This window comes from Homo sapiens, chromosome 18 (genome assembly GCF_000001405.40).
Source record: "Homo sapiens chromosome 18, GRCh38.p14 Primary Assembly".
Classification (NCBI taxonomy): Eukaryota; Metazoa; Chordata; class Mammalia; order Primates; family Hominidae; genus Homo; species Homo sapiens.
In genome coordinates this window covers 55,521,566-55,539,569 of record NC_000018.10, presented here as the reverse complement: position 1 = coordinate 55,539,569, position 18,004 = coordinate 55,521,566, and the positions used below count along the sequence as shown (strand labels likewise).

Genomic DNA, 18,004 nt, shown 5'->3' with positions numbered 1-18,004 from the left:
GATGTTTGTCTCCTTTGGAAGTTTGTGCTCTGGGTTATGGGACAGTTCTTACAAAGTGGTTTTCTGTTAGTTTCTGCCAATTTCTCAGGAATTTCATTGGTTTGGCATTAGTTTTTACATTAATTTTATGGCTTGTGGTTCCCAAACTAAGCAAATAGTATAAATTTAGATTCTGCAACTGCATATGGAAAAGTTTTCAGGGTTGGATTACTCATAGGCAACTCTTTCTTTGCCCACCAAAGCCCTTGCCAGACATGTTTTCTGGCCATTTCCCTGAATCAGTGACATAAGAATCAGTAGCCTTTCCAAATCTCTGGCTTTGTGCAGGGGTCTTAGGACCTGTGCCTCTGTGGGTTTAAAAACTCCAGCCCCTATCCCTTAGGGCCCATAGATCTGCTAATGTTTCCAGTTCTGTGTTTTTTGTTCTGGCTGTAAATTCCCTCTCAGAATTCCATTTCTTTTGAGTTTGGGTATGTATTTAACTTTTTTCTCATCATGTTTTATCCAGGCTTTTTTTTTTTAAATGGAGTGTGTGTGCGCGCACGTGTGTGAGAGTGTGTTTGGAGGAGTGTATTATTTGAACCATCATATTGCTGAGACTAGAAATCCCCTCTCATTTCTAAGATCAATTATTATGTGGATATTTGCTTTCTTTTTCTGAGTGTAATATTAAATACGAAATGGACTCGTGAACCTGGAGAATGTCTGTCAGAAATACCGAACCTTCCTTCTTTCATTTTCGCCTGTAAAATCTTACAATTTTTTTAAAGATAGATATACAGCCATCTAGAGAATACACAGAAGAGTGATTTGGTGTTCATCTTTGTGTTTGCTGTTTGCTGAAGGATCACTCGCTAAGATACGTCTAACATTGCTATAATTGTTCTGTTTCCCTTTGAATTGAATATTTAGGGTAAGGCACTGATATGTCAGTAGGATGACCAACACTAAAAGTCCAGTATCCTGGGAAACCTCTGTCTTTGGTAGACCTGGATTGTCACCTTAGTCTTGGATTCCTTCCGGAGACTGAAGAAATCCTTTAAAAACTTTCCTGCTGTGGAGTCTTCTGGCTCAGGCCCCAACTACAGTGTTACATTCAGACTTCTTTGTTAGAACAAAGTTTTACATATATTCAAATAGTAAGGATAAATATTAATCTGTTTAGAAAGAGAGCCTTGAAAGGATCCTAGTCTTTTTGCATAGGAAAAATGTCCCCAATCAATGAGAAAGTCTAGGAGCATGATCAAGACTTATTTTATATAGTTTGTCTTTTAGGGGGTACTGGTGGATTATACTTTTAGAGTTACATTCAGTATTATTGTGGCTGGACTAAAAACCCCTCAAGAATACATTTCACATTGATTTTATTATAGACATCTGTCAAGCAAAGCAGAGGCAAATGATAGCATACTCATTTACCAGTAATGCAAATCAAATGAGCTAGTGGCAACAAAATCACTCCTGACACCTTTGCCCTTTTTCTCTTGATTTGAACTAATGACGTGTGTGTGTGTGTGTGTGTGTGTGTGTGTGTGTGTGTGTGCGCGCGCGCAGACTAGCAAAATCCAGACTAGCAAACAAAGGCCAATGACAGGATAACTTTCATACCTTCATGCCTGGGTCACTCACCATGTACGATAGGAGCAGTGCATTCTCTTGTGAATTAAAAATCTATTTATCCTTCCTGGGTGCATAAGTCCCATAGAAGGCTGGGAGGGGAAGTGGAACTCTTTATATAGGAGGGGCTTAGACCTCAATAGCCTGTCCCTTTGAATGACAAAATGCCCACCAGCCTTGCCACAAATAGCTTCTGAAATATGAGAACCTTTTTTAATTCTTAAGATCCTTGACCACTGCAACTAATGTAAAGACACACTCCGCAACAAACTTATACACACACACGTACACACACATTTTATTCTGTTTTATAGGAATGGCAGTCTTTAGCAGTGCATAATTTTTTTATTATTATTTTGTTTGAGACTGGGTCTCACTCTCACTCAGGCTGGAGTGCAGTGGCATGATCATGGCTCACTGCAGCCTTGACCCCCTCCTGGGCTCAAGTGATCCTCCCACTTCAGCGTTTTGAGTAGTTGGGATCACAGGCACGTGCCACCACGCCTTGGTAGTTTTTGTGTTTTTTGTAGAGATGGTGTTTCGCCATGTTGCCCAGGCTGTTCTTGAACTCCTGAGCTCAAGCAATCTGCCCACCTTGGTCTGGGATTACAGGCGTGAGCCACTGTGCCCGGCCAACATTCCATCATTTTAAAAGCTGGGCAAAAAGGGAAGGAACTAGTTGAGAAAGGAAGGTTCTATGGCCAGAACATCAGAATGCTTGTTTTTAGTTTTTGCAAACATTGGTGAAATAATAGTTGGCTTTTTTGTAAAGCCTTTCCAGTTGGAAACTGCAAGTACTTTTTTTTTTTTTTTTTTTCCGAGACGGAGTCTCGCTCTGTTGCCCAGGCTGGAGTGCAGTGGTGTGATCTTTGCTCACTGCCAGCTCTGCCTCCCAGGTTCATGCCATTCTCCTGCCTCAGCCTCTCCAGTAGCTGGGACTACAGGCGCCCGCCACCACACCCGGCTAATTTTCTGTATTTTTAGTAGAGATGGGGTTTCACCATGTTAGCCAGGATGTTCTCGATCTCCTGACCTCGTGATCTGCCCTCCTCGGCCTCCCAAAGTGCTGGGATTACAGGCGTGAGCCACCACACCCGGCCAGAAACTGGAAGTACTTTTAAAAGTATGATGGAAGATACATACTTTGTAATATACATACATACAAAATTTGTTCTTTGAGCAAATTTATTCAGTTTTACTGGCAATGAAACTCATAATGTTTACTCCTCAGAAATTTTAAAACATTTGTTTGTTGAATGTATTTATTGTTTCTATCGGCAGTCTTTGGAAATCTGTCTTGTGATAGTTCTAATAATATGGTTTGAATACAGCATTGTCATATGTCTTATATGTTGGGGCAACATTCTAATAACTATACATTTTTTATCTTCCGATACGTTTTTCTGAATAACTCTTTGTGTTGACTGCAAGTATGTTTTTGCAGAGTCACCAAGTTCTGAAAGTATGCTTTTAGGATGGCACTAGGTTACTGTGTTTGTATTAAGTATAATTGTGTTCTTTTGTAGATTTGTTCCTATAGAGCTATGGTTTCATGGTCTGAAGCTGAAAGAGGTTTAAAGAGGTCATCACAGTTCCTCCTCCCACCCTTACTGTTGTTAAATATGAATGTACGTTTGACTATTGGAGGAATTTTGTTTCTAGAACTTTCAAGAGTAATTGTTTTCTGTAATTTATAGTAGGAAAATATTGATTTATTAATAGTTAAAATGTTCTTTGGGATGCTTGAAGACCATGATGTGAAAAACTTAAAAAAATTAGCATTGATGTTGTTTCTATATATTTGCCAATGGGAGTACTATAACTTTGAAATGTAGGGGATTGTTTGAAACATGAATTGTGAAAAATAACGCAACTTTAGTTATTTTATATTGGGTCCAGGCTAGTCCGCTGAAGAGTATGAAGTACAGTTTTATGTAAAATATATCTCAGATTGAGAATGTGGAAACACTGTTCTTTAAAAAAATAAAATCTTCAGTAAGATCCTTTTATGAATTTACTGGTTTGTTCTCATTTGTCATCGGACTGTTTCCAGATGTAAAATATTACTTTCTTGAAATTGCTGTTGAGTCTACTATCAAGACCAGGTGCATGTTGTTTTACAGCTATTTTACTTCTGATTTTTAATGCTGAAACTCATAGAATGCCTTGAACTGATAATTTGTTTAACTCTCTACCTACTAATTGGACCAAGAAATAACTTTGTATCTTTATCTCTTTTCCATTTCATGTTTTATTTCTGTTTCAATTAGTGTGTGCCTTTGGCAAAAAGGAGATGATTTTGCTTTCTGTTTTAGGATTTGCCTCCAAGAAAAAATATATTTTATTGCCACATTTTCTCAATTGATCCAGTAGAGTTCACAGACAATGAAAAGAGTAAGAAAACTAATTTTTAAAGCTTGGTAGTGTTATAATTTTCTTCCTTATAATAATCAGAAAAAGAATTTGTATAACTTTTGTTTCTAATATAGCAGTTCTGAAAATCTAGGCTTACACATTTTCCTTCCCATTACTGCTGTTTATACTTAAGTAAAACAAAAATGGTCGCTGCAGGTTTTTTTCTCATTTTAGTGCAGAGTTTGAATTCTTCAAAGACTGCTAAGGTTTTCCCACCTTAACAATTTATGACAGACCCTTATATCTTCATAGGCTGAGTCCGCTGCTAAGAGTTTGCTAACTCATGACTTTAATACACCAGTAGAGATCACACTGGAGTTAAAACAAAGAGAGCACGAACCCTGAAATGATTTAAGACTGTTCTTAGCTGACTACTGGAACACAGTGTCTCACGTGGTGTTATTGGTAACCTTAATGCAGATTATAATTCTGTAGTTTAACCAGGATGTGTTGGCTATGGTAAAGTGCCTTTATAAGGAATTGTGAAAGGGCACAAGGAATGGAAACAGAACCTCAGTTTTCTCAGTGTAAATGATGATGACAAGAATTCCCTGTGCACATTTGTTGTTGTGAGAAAGGGTGAGATAGAATAGATTGGACACATAGTAGGTGCTCACTGTTAGTTTTTCTCATTCATTCATTACTGTGTCATTCTATTGGCATGCTCACAGTCATGTAGTGGAATATGAAGTTACATCGTGATATTTTTCATTCATTCACCACTGTGTCATTCTGTTGACATGTTCACAGGCATGTAGTGGAATATAAAGTTACATCATGATATTTTAAAAGCTACCGATGTGGTAGATTTCACAGTCTTGAAAAGGGGTTTTTTTTAAGCTGAATTTTCAGTTTCACTTGAGAAGAGTCCTGATTTGCTTGTACAAAGAGCAGTAGGGTTGCAGAGAAGGAAAGAAGGCAACTCTTTTAAGTCCCAGCCGCTACTCTGCTGTGTCTTATTCTCTAAAACAGTGAAGAAGTCTGGGTGGACATTCTAGTGGTCAGAAGCCTAAGCTTTGTCTTTTGATGAGTGCAGACAGGGGAGGGAGCAACTGACGAGGGAGTAGAGGGGCTTGGAGCCCCTTCCCAAGTCTACCATCCCTCACTTATGTGTCTCTTCCTCAGTAAAGCACCCCCAGTGCCCTTATTTGCTGTATTTTTCTTCATGGAACTTACTGTCTATGGGACCTATTTGTGCATTCATTTATGGTGTGTCTCTGCATTGCTTTCCCTTTCACTACCCATGTAAGTTCCATGAAGGCCCAGTCTTAAGCATTACAGGTTGAGCGTCCCTAATCTGAAATGCTCCAAATTCCAAAACCTTTGAACACTGACATGAGATAGTGACACCTTTGCTTTTTCTGTTGTTCCAAAGTACGCAAACTGTTTTATGCACAAAATTATCAAAAATATTTTGTAAAATTACCTTTAGCCCATGTGTGTAAGGTATACATGAAGCTGCATATGAAACATAAAATACATTTCATGTTGAAACTTGGTTCTCACCCCAAAGTTGCCTCATGTATATGCAAATATTCAAAAATCCCAAAAAATTAGACATCCAAAACACTTCTGATCCTAAGCCTTTGAGATAAGGGATACTTAACCTGTACTGGGTCCTCAGTGCCTGGCACAGGGTGGATGCTCAGTAAGTATTTTCTTAAAAGAAAGAACAAGGGAAAGGTAGATGAGACGATAAGAGGTGGAGGTACAGGGAAGAAGAACACAGAAACATGGTGATGAAAAGAACAGTCTGATACCTTATTTGGGCCCCAGAAAATGATTGGTACTGAAGGGATTTTATTAGTGGTCATTTAAGAAACTTGTGTTGTACTGTTTTTGTGTATTGGAAGGAGGCTAGACATTGTTACATGGAAATTCACAGTTACATTTTCACTAAATGTTTCATTGTGAAAAACGTCAAGAAAGGTTGGAGAAGGTCTAGGAAAACTTATCTTTGAAGATACTGTCTTATGAATTTCCAGCTCAGACTTGCAGCTTTTGGGAGCTGAGGCTATGAGGTGATCTTGAGAGCAGCTGAGGAGGCTCTAATGGGTTCCAGCTGTGTGCCCAGAGAACCCACCCTCTCAGGATAACATTAACCAGGTAGACCCTGCCCTGACTGACTTCCTCTGGGCTTTATGGGTCCCCGTGGTCTGTTGCATTGATCTTGCATTTTCAGGTTTTATAGCAATTCTAAACATGTGAGGGTACATATTTGCTCTTTGATGTGCCCTTTGATAGAAGCCAGAGTGCTTTACCTGAGCCTGCCTGTAATAATGGGGGAAGGTGGGTTGCATGCCCTGCAGCCATACGCTCCCTGGGAGGCTGGTTTTATTGCGGTTGTTGATTGGCAGACTTTAATCAGGGGTGTTTCTTGTTGTATTTTTGAACATGAAGTATATTAAGGATAGTTAAACATGTAGTCCTGCTGGTGTTTTGTTTTGTTTTGAACCACATTTTGTTCCATTGTGCCACTTGATAGAAAGGAGGGCAGAATGGAAACATATGGGGAGCAGAAATAGTAACACTTATGTCATATAACTACACTGTGTTGGTGATTTTTTGTTTTTTTCCATGTTTTATAATACCTTTATGTACATCCCTATTAAGAAGGCAGCTATTGTGTCTCCATTTCACAGAGAGGTAAGTTAAGGAATGTGGAATTTGGAAACATGCTTGCCGGTTAGTGTGGATGGAACCTAAATTAGAATTCAGAGCTCTTATTACTAGATAGGAGACCAATCCCAGGCAGTCATGGCATTTCTGTGAACTCTTTCGAAGAGTAAAGGGACAGGAATTGCCTTTTCAGAGTAGAACTCAGTGCATATCAGTGGAATTATAGAACTTTAGGGTTAGAAGGGCCTTTGATGGGACCATCCTTTAAGCTAGAACTGCCTCTTGAAGTTTGCAGTGTGCATGACCTGCAGCTCCATTGTTTATATTCCAAATCTATGAAACTAGTGAGAGAATAGGACACATCTTTGTATGTTTAGGTTTGACAGTACTTATCAGAAGTGGTCATATTACGGTTTTCTATCTTCCTTTGGTGGCTTTTCAGCTTTCCTTGGTACCAGCCTTCCAAAAGAAATTAGCTCCCTTGTGCCCTCACTTTAATTTGGAAGAGATTGGTTTGGAAGAGCCACCAAGGGCCCACTAGACAGCTCCTTAGAAGTTGCTGTGACTTGGCAGATGGCACCTGAGGTTTAAGGATTGGGGATCTAGCCATGGCGTGTTGATGATGATGATGATGAGGATGGCAATGACTATTAACTCCTTAATCCATATTTAATCATATCACCAGAACTGATGGTTGTTCATTGAAGATTCACTTCATGAAGTACAAGCTAGGTGATTCCTTTTTGAAAATAACACTGTGGGCCTAAGATATATGGACCTTATGTGGCTTAAAATGACCCACTTCTCTGTGCTTACTCCTAATTACCTTCTTATTTCTTTGAATTTAGTAATGGGAGTAAATCCGACTTTAAAGCCATTTGTGGTGGCAAACCCTAACTATTCAATGAAATACAAATTTGGTACATTTGCATCCTATGCAAGTTTTATATTTTTGACAGCTATTTTTGTATTTAAGCAAGAAGCCGAAATAAAAATTTCTAAACAGATATGCCAGATTATATTCACCATGTTTGAGTATAGTATTGATTGGTCATGGCTGATGTTTATCAGACTAAGCAAAGTGTGTCTGTATTAGTTGTCTCAAGAGGGTCTTTATTCTTAAATGCTTATGAATTCCATAATAAGTCTTGGAAAGTGGAACATACCCAAGCACAATTTATAACTTTTCTAGGCTTTATTGGTATTCTGAGCCATCCAGTGAGGACTGGAGTCATTCACATGATAGAATAACACAGATACCATTTATTAATCTGCTGAATATTGATCACATTTAGCAAATTGCTGAATATTAGTAGTGAAATACTATTCCTCTACAAAATAGTAGTAGCCATAGTAGTAGCAAAATTATCCTCATGTGTCCATGCATGATTTATATGTATGTGTGTGTTTATATATATACAGTGTATACATCCATATCTCTATATTTCTATTTTGCTATCTTTGTTGGGATTTATAAGGTAACTTTTAATTATTTTCCTTCCCCCATTCTCTACTTAGCGATCCTTTCTTTATACCAATCATCATGGTAAACACTGGGAATATAAAGATTAATAAGTCACAGTACCTATCCTTAGAGCTGGAAGCAAATACTTTTTATCCAGCATAATGAGTGTTACGAGAGATGGTATAGAAAATGCTCTGGTAGGCCTGGTGTGGTGGCTCATGACTGTAATCCCAGCAGTTTGGGAGGCTGAGGCAGGTGGATCACTTGAGGTCAGGAGTTGGAGACCAGCCTCGCCAACATGGTGAAACCCCATCTCTACTAAAAATACAAAAAAATTAGCTGGGTGTGGTGGTGGGCACCTGTACTCCCAGCTACTCGAGAGGCTGAGGCAGGAGAATCGCTTGAACCCGGGAGGCGGAAGTTGCACTGAGCCGAGATTACACCACTGCACTCCCGCCTGGATGACAGAACAAGACTCCGTCTCAATTAAAAAAAAAAAATGCAAAAAGAAAATGCTCTGGTATCCCAGAAAATGCCTACTCTGTTTCAGGAATGCAATTCAGAAAGGTGTACCAGAGTGTCATTTGCAGTCTAGTGGTAGTTTCATAGAATGTCTGTTTCAAGAGGACCCTTCTCTATAGATCTGTAGTTTTTATTAGTTATAATTTCTTCACACTTCTGTCAGAAATGTTTGCTGTTAATTTTGAACACTGTTTTTCATGTGAATATATTTTTTAAGTGGATATCTTTTTCATTTTGTTTTTTTCCTCCTGGCTTTTAAATATATATTTAAAATATTTTTATCCATATCTAATTTTTGCAACTTTCAAAAAAACTTTCTAAGCAGTCACCTCCTGACCCTCTTTTTCCCCCTTAGCTGTTTCCCCCCCCCTTTTCAGGGCCACCTCCCCTCCTTCAGAGCCCCCGCATAATGCTATTCCTTTACCGTCCAGCCATCTGCCTGTTTTAGCCTCTTCTTCACTCTCTCTGTTTCTTCTATATAGATTTCCCCATATGTCTGCTTCTTCCTTTATCCACAAGTCCAGACACTCCTCCATAGCTTTCTTACCACCCCATCCTGGTGTCCCGTCTGTTCATAAATAACTCTTTCATCCGCCTTGAATCCCAACCCCCTACTCTTTCTAAAAAGAGTGTGCAAATAAACCTAAAGTGCACGGAGCCAAGATGCATAGCATAGTTTTGATTCAGAATAGACTTTCTCCTTCCAATCACCTGTTTTAGTCCCCATTTTTTGTTGCTTGGCTTCTTTGTACAGATCCACAATTGCCGTTCAATTTTTGTATGAAAGTGGATGCAAAGTTATTTAATGTCTTCATGACAAAGTTTTTGCCTCTTACTGGCAGGTTATTTTGCCCTAATCAGTTACACAGTCTTGTGCAGCCTAGTGGTTGCTATTTTGGAGTAGTCAGGTTTGAACCTTTTGTTCTTCAGAAATTAACGTATTATCTCAGAAACAGCAGTCTCTGCTTGCGTGCTTGGCAACACAAAACTGCGTTAGGTCCTTTTCTAAGTCTGAGTTCTAGGACATGTGCCATGAAAGGAGTGTTAACTGAATCACCTGCAGAAATGGCCACAAGGAGGGCTTTGTAATGTTCTAGATATTTAAAATGTTGGTGTCCTCCTCCTAGCATGGTGTGCTAGTGACAGGCTCCTTTCTCCCTGGTCAAGAGTAAACATTGGCAATTTACTTCCCTTTAGAAATGTGTTACTGTAGCCATCGCGGAGTTGCCAGTGTTTTTCCTTCCTAATGTCAGTGATAATTTTACTCACAGATTCCCTGCAGAGATTTTAGCTCAGCAGGAAGTAAATCTAGGTAAGATTGCCTTGAAAACTGATCTAAAACAATAAATGCTAACTGTATCATTCCTTTTTATTTAAAAAAAATTGGAGGCATAACTAACTTGATTATTTGTAACTGGTGAGATCTAATAATCGTGGTTAAGACCCCATTCGTTCATACATTCTCTCGTTCTCTCTCTCACTGCTTCTTTGCCTATAGAAAAATAAAAGTCAGAGATTGAAATGATTCACACTATATTTTTTAAGGATGAAATATCATAGTAGAAATGAAAGGTAGAACTGTTTACTCATGAGATGCTGAGAAAATCTAAACTGTAGCTTTCCTAGAGTTTAGGAAGCTAAATATTTTATTGGTATCAAAATCAGAAATATCTAAAGAATAAGATATTTAGTTTTAAATGTTTCATACTTTCTAAAAAGAGTTTTTGCTTTGTTTTGTTTTGTTTTTGTTTTTTGAGACGAGTCTGGCTGTTACCACCCGGGCTGAAGTGCAATGGCACGATCTTGGCTCACTGCAACCTCCACCTCCTGGGTTCTAGTAATTCTCCTGCTTCGACCTCCTGAGTAGCTGAGATTACAGGCACCTGCCACCATGCCCGGCTAATTTTTGTATATTTAGTGGAGATGGGGTTTCACCATATTGGCCAGGCTGGTCTTGAAGTACTGACCTCAGGTGACCCACGCACCTTGGCCTCCCGAAGTACTGGGATTATAGGCATGAGCCACTGTGTCCAGCCAAGGTCTTTTGTTGTTGTTGTTGTTGATAGTCAAGAATGAGATTTTACTGAAACAAGGACATCAGAATAAAAAGAAATGTAAAAAATGGGAAAGACACTGAAAATTACAACAACCCATATTACTCATTCAGATTCTTTTTGGAATTTCAAATAGTCAATAATGAAGAGACATAAATTCCTTGGAGAAACGTAGCTTAGGGTCAGCTTTCCTTTAATGACACTAGTGCTATAGTCACTTATATGTAGTATTTTTGGTGTTGTCCAATTTCTGTGGATTCTGAACATTAGCTGTACACAGATCCAAGTCTGTGGCTTTAGCATATTTTTGCTTTTACATCTTGTCAAAAATATACTGTTAGAATATCTTAGACTCGAGAAGATTTTAGAAATCACTAATAATGTAACAACTGTTATTGGTTATGAATGAACAAAGGTTCAGTTAAAGAGTATTTCCAGGTAAGGCTGTACATATCCACAGTATATTATAGAGACTTCTGGGTTATGCACTGGATATTAATGGTTTGGATTATGGTGATGTTTCTGAATGTGTGAAGGGTGAAGTTCTAGACTTCATTTTTATTAAATGAAATTGATTTTCTTACCCCCACCAAATTACTTACCAAACATTAGATACCTAAGATCTTAAACATAGCCATCCTCTAAATTATTTGTTCTTTAAGTGTCCAGAGAATATCGTGCAGCTTCCAGATCATGGAGAAACCAGTTCTGTGCTCTTGAAGTTGCAGTGGTAGGAGAAATAGCAGTCTTCTATGACAGATTTTTCAACTTTAACCCTCTCACTCTCTGCTAATTAGAATCATACGGTCATACACTTTTGGTTTTTTTTGTGTGTAACAAATTTTTTCTAAAGATTCAACAAAAGAGTTTCAAGGTTACCTTCAAGTAGGTACAAATATCTTAGCTCTGGCTTCTTTTTCTCCCAAATTGGCTGTGGACTGTAGGAGCTTAATTAGTTCAGGCTCAGTGCAATTGGTTTGCTCCTAGGGTGTGTCTATACTTAAAACATTTTTTTATAACAGAAAATACGTTTTTGACCACTTTTCATAACTTCCTCTTGTTGTTTACCAGTTTTAATTTTATCTTGGCAATTGAAAATCTTGGGGGAGGCCAATCTAAAAAAAATTCTTGGATTTTCAAGTTGGATATACATCGGTTTCCTAAAAAGAACTCTCTTTTTCAATAACTTTGATATCTCATTCATTCAGCCTGTATTTATTGAGAGCTTATCATGCACGTGGTGTTATGCTTTTTAATTGCTGGTACCTTGAATATTTAGAGAAAAAATACCTCGTGCATTTTGTCTCTGTGTGTTTGACATGTCACCTTGTTGAATCTGCACCAAGAAAATGATGAATTCCAATGATCTATGGTAGTTACAAGGCCTTAGAAGAACCAGGGATGTGAATTTTTGGTCTGCTTCCTCCGTATTTCCTATTCATTGAGAAACGTGCTTGTATGCATATAAACAATTCCTTACTATTTTTCTTTCTGGAGAGGAAACAGTAATGGGTGGATTTTATCACAGGACAAAGACTCTTCCAGATAGCTGTTACAGTCCCTCCCTCTGCTCACCTGATTTAGATGAACCTCTCTTTGACCCACCACGATGGTGGTAAGTCTGCCGTTGCAGTTTTGTAGACATGTATGTGAAGGCGATGTTTGTTATGGGGTCAGTGTTGCCTTAAGGATGCGGGCTAGAGTGAGGGGACCTTTGTGGTGGGCTTTGCAGACTTCTTGGCAGAGGGAAGCACAGATGCGTGAGGTTACTATTTTCACCTATCTCCTCCTTTCTTTATTGTTTACAGGAACACTTGTCTAAGTGGTGCACAATTTTGCCTTGCTTACGCTTCTAGAGTGAAAAATATCTGTCCAGACTCCCTGGGATAGGTTGGTTCTAACATCTTGGTGGATTGAGCCTGGACCAGGAGTTTTGACTTAGAATTCATGGAGAGAGGTGTCTGTAAATGTATATATACCCCTTTATGTTTGGGAGAAAGCATCTGTGGAGCTTATCTGGGTAGCAAGAGGATTTTGTGACCCAGCAAAGGTTAAGGCACACTGCCTGGAAAAATCAATTAGGATCCAGTTGAGGGTTAGATCTGGCCATAGACTTTGCCTGGTGTTGGTAAATAATCTGAAAGCCTTAAAGCATCTCAGAGTAATGAAAGGGGCCCAAGGGTTCACAGTGCCTTTTCTCAGGATTGCTGCAAGGATTCTGGATTAAAAATCCTTCTGCTGTCTGTGGAACAGAACATTTCCTGGGATCAATCCTTGAGCCTTCCATAGACAAAGAATTTCCCAAAACTAATCTTGCCCCATGTGGTGTCAGAGGTAAAATAAGTGCCAAGCATGAGAAGCCAGAGTAACCTTTACTGGAGTAACCTCTGCTAGATCTCTTGTTATCTATGTACTCTTAGAATATCTTAGACTCGAGAAGATGTTAGAAATCACCAATAATGTAAGAACTGTTATTGGTTATGAATGAACAAAGGTTCAATTAAAGAGTATTTCCAGATAAGGCTATACATATCCATAGTATATTATAGAGACCTCTGGGTTATGCACTGGATATTAATGGTTTGGATTATGGTGATGTTTCTGAATGTGTGAAGGGTGAAGTTCTAAACCCTTTTTAGATAGGCAAGTGTGATGTGAGCAGTAGAGTACATTTTTTGTTTTTGTTTCCTGAAGTGGGGCACATTTCTCTCCCCTTTGTGGTTCTGTAAATACATTGTTGAGTCCAGTGGAACTTCAAAGATGGCACATAGCTACTGATGACACACACAAATATTGTAAGTTGATAAGGATGTCTGAAATGTTATAAGTGGCTACCTGATGCCTGATGTCAATGCTGGTATCTGTAAAGCACACACACTAAGAATAGAGACTGGCAGCTCAAGGGTGTTGATGGTAATTTTATTGTATCTTCAAGAAAGTGTGTTTCCAGAGAATTATTATCAGTAATAATGACTACCACCTTGTTTTCTTTTGCCTCATTTCTCTTTCTTCTTCCATGAAACTGGGGTAAGCCTTATTGTAGAGAGAAGCCCACATGGATATCCAGCACCTAGGTTCCGCCGAGGGCAAGGCGGAAATGAACTGAGTTATTCCATTTCTGTGTAAATCGGCGTCATTTGCTACATGTGCAAGTTTTGGGCCAGAGGTGTGGAAATTGGGTTCACTGTTAATCTAACTAGTGATAGCCTTTTTAATCATGTATTTTAATAGGAAGGTAGCACAGTTGAGGGACCTCTTTTGCCTCTTGTGCCTAAGACAGCTGGGTTTGAAACTCAGTTTTTAATGAATTATTTAACTTTACTGTGTCTCATTTTCAAATCTATAAAATGGGGTTAATTGTATTTTGCAGGATTATACTGGAGAAGATGATAGTACATTTCAGATTTCTACCACAAATATGGCCCTCGAATTTACTTTTCTCTACTACTAAGCAACAAAATAAAATTGAGGAAATGGGAGTCTCTCTACCTGGTCTTTGATTTAGAGTGTGGTATTTCTTCATTATGGGTAGAAGAGTATTTTTCTTTATAGAGAGTCATTAACCTTCAGGAAAAAAAAATCAATCAAAGGTTACGTGGAATGAAGAAGCGATGTCATGTAATTGAGATTTTTTTTTTTTTGATTCAAAATGTAAACTCACTTGATTTAGAATTGATTGGAACATGGCATGTGAAAAAAACACAGGAGACATTTAAAACTGTACCTAAATCTGATATAGTAGTTAAGAAAGCTAGCTTTATAGGAAATTAAAGGGGGCTGATTAGAGTAAGATAGGAGAGAGAGGGGGAAAGGGGATATGGTGGGTAGCTAGAAGAAAGGCATACACATGCTTAGAAGTAGGAAGCCAGAGATGGAGGAAGACCTAGGATGGGCTTGGAAAACTTCTGAAGCCTTAATGAACTGATCTTGTCACACACAGCTGTTCATTTGAGTTGTGGGCCTCAGAGTATTATTCCTTTTTATCACTGTCTTTTGAAATGCTAATTAGATAATTGACCATTGTTCCCAGTTCTTTGGTTACTTTTTATTCTTAAACTTCTAGAGACTAGGCCTTGAATGGGATACTCAGAGCAGCACACCAGATGGGAAATTATTCTCTGGCCTTCAGTTGCCAAATGACCACCACAGTAGTGCTTGGGATGTATAAAATCCAGCTGAGAGGCAGAACTAGCCTAAGGGGTGGTTAGCATACTTCTTGGGATAGTCCTTCATCAATAGATTTTTATTTTGTAATGATGAAGGGGACTGCCTTTGTATTTTTATACAGATTTATCAGATTTACTTAATCAATAACTTAATCAATATTGATTACTTAATCAATAATCATGGTCTTCTTGACCATGAAAGGCTCATTTAAAGAAAAGAACACTTGAAGAATATCTGAAAATGATTAGCAAGATACCTTTGGTTTTTCATGAAACACCATTATAAGTCTAATGTTTGAAGAATGTTTTTATTCTACTTCTGACCTAGTTAACTCATAGTTTTTTTTTTAAATTGAATTAGATAATGTGTATGAAAGCATCTTGAAGAATATACACTCAGCACAAATGTAAGATTTGATTAATAAGGTGGTTATTAATGAATACCATATAGTAACAATATATCTGAGTCTTGCAGAAAAACATTCTTGACCAACAGGACGTGATCTAGTAGAAGAGCTGCCTGTTCTACATATTTTATAAAGAGAACTAATCATTTTTCTTCTGTATACTCAATCCGATATCAGGAAACCTCATTTAGGTCTATTCACACTGTAGAGGCAGCAAAATAACATGCCTGACCTTTTCTATGTAAATATTAAAAATTATTAAATCTGCATGTTGGAAAGATTGATTTCGGCAATACCTTCTAAATTTTCAGTGAATATTTAAGTGTAAGTTTGCAGATAGTTTCATGAAAATAATTGACTTTTAGTTTTGGTACTAGAACAATTGGAATATTGGTGGTATTTTTCATTTTAAATCTGTGTGAACTAAAATTTTCTTATTTGTCTGGCATGAACATCACAGAAAAATCCTTTCCCTTCAAGCTATTTTTTTAAAAAAATTGTAAAGGAGATACTATGTATTGCAGAACATTTAGCAAATAGTGAAAAAATAAAAAGGGAAAGTCAAAAATTCCCTCTTATTAGTTCAGTACTGTAACAGTCGATTGTATTGCCTGGGCTATTTTTTTAAAAAAATTGTAAAAGAGATACTATGTATTGCAGAACATTTAGCAAATAGTGAAAAAATAAAAAGGGAAAGTCAAAAATTCCCTCTTATTAGTTAAGTACTGTAACAGTTGATTGTATTGCCTGGTGGTAGTCTTTATATCTGTACACATATACATACAATTTAAAATATGTATGCAATTTTAGATTATTTAAATAAATTCATACTTATTGTTATATATTTTTCTTTTTCTTTTTTTGTATTTGCATTTTTAAAAAACTGATAAGACCTGCCAGGGTTATGTGTGCTGTAGTGTTTCCTGAATTTATTTAACTACTATGGTTTTTCTGTTTTCTAATTTATTAATTCATTAAACATTTGTTATTCCTTTGTTTTCTTGGGTCAGTTTTATAGAAGTCATTTTCCTTAAATTGACTGTTGAGTTAAATTATTTCACTCTTATGTTCCAGATCATGAATTTGTATTGTGTAAAAATTTGGCTGCATTCCATAAGTTTTGTTGATAATGTAATATTCTCTGTGTTACTAGTTTCTGAAGTTATTTTGGCAGTTTTTTCCTTTTAATACAATAGCTAACTTGAACTCTCATTTAAATTTCAAAGAGATTATCAAGTTTAGCTTTTAAAATTTTCATAACTGTTTTCTAGTTTTATTAAAGTGTGGCCAGTAAAGAAACAGTGTATTTTCTGTGTCTTAAAATTTCTTATACTCTTAGTGTCCCAACAAATGATATTTTAGGAATTTCTCAGTATTTCAGATGAGATTTATTTTTATATTTGTAATAGTTGGAAATGTGGCTTATTTTCTGTAGTGTACATTTTAATTTGCTTTTCAGTTTTTAAAGTTTTTTCTTAACTAGATCTCTTTTGAACCTAGAAAGATGTGTTAAACACTCCCACAAAATAATACATGTTTCTCATGCATAAGCGATTCATGATGACTGTGTGTTTATGGTAGATATTTTCATCTTTGATCTTCAGTACTCCCTCTTTTATTATTATCTCTTTTTTTCCATGTATTATTGTAAGAGAACTTTTCAAGTTTGTCGTCTACATCAGTGACAATTTTTCTACAATTTTATGCAAATTTTAATTTTGTTAATGCATTTTTAGTTTTCTTACAATATTTCCTATTACATCCATCTGCTTTTACATCTCTTCACAAATCTTTTGTGTTGACACCTATTTTATAGAAATATTCTATTTTATATAACTGTCAAATGTGATGTTTTCTAGACTCCACTTGTATTTTTTATAGGGTGAAAATGTTTTTCAAAGTATAATTTCCCTCTGAATTATGAGTACATATTTCCCTATATTTTATTGTGCAGATTTTTTTCTCACTACACAGTTTTTAACATGTTAAACTTTAGGACGCTGCAAATCTGCCTTTCTTAATATATTCTGTGATGTTGAGGCTAACTACATATATTTTGTAAAGAGGTATGCTGGTCTCCATGTCAGCCTCTACCAATAGGAGGCGCTGGAGGGAGAGTAGAAGGCTAGAGGAGGAAGAACTTGGCCTTTCCTGTTCTTGTTATCATCACTCTGGTAACATCAGTCTTTTCCAGTTTTTAGTTTTGTCTACATTCCTAAAATTAACCTCCTTGGAGATAACAGCCCCAGTCTGCTGGTGTCTCTTCCTCATCACGTCTCTCTGAGCTTACAGGCTCTGGAAACCCAACCGCTTCCCTGTTTCCCCAGCCGTGGGGATGGTAGCTGTTTCCATCCGACTGTTCATGGGTGCTTCTTCTCAAGTCTAAAGCCAGAGGACTGTAAATGTATGTTGTTTAAGCCACACATCCAACCATACTGGTTCAGGAAGGCAGCGGTCTTCCAGTAGTTAGTTAGCTTTCTAAAAACTCCCTTTAAAAATGAGACTTTAGAAAGAGGATGACAAATCCTGAGGACTCGTGTCTTAAGCAAATTTTCTGTCTAGATATTTATTATAAACCTAATTGCATCTGATAAGTGCTGTGTATGTCATACTCTATCAAAGGTAAAAGGGTTATTAAAGTAACCTGCACTTTTTAGAGCAATGGTGGATGGCCTTGCAGAAGGCACATGGCCTTTATCAGTCAACTCACTGTGGGGAAGCTGGAGAAATAAAGTTCAG

The 18,004-nt window shown here is 37.4% G+C and overlaps 1 protein-coding gene across 32 annotated transcripts in view; it reads left to right on the top strand.

Annotated features, from left to right (window-relative positions):
- Positions 1-18,004, top strand: part of TCF4 (transcription factor 4) — a 413,773-nt gene that overhangs the window by 96,388 nt on the left and 299,381 nt on the right. The gene's annotated exons all lie outside the window — the stretch shown is intronic.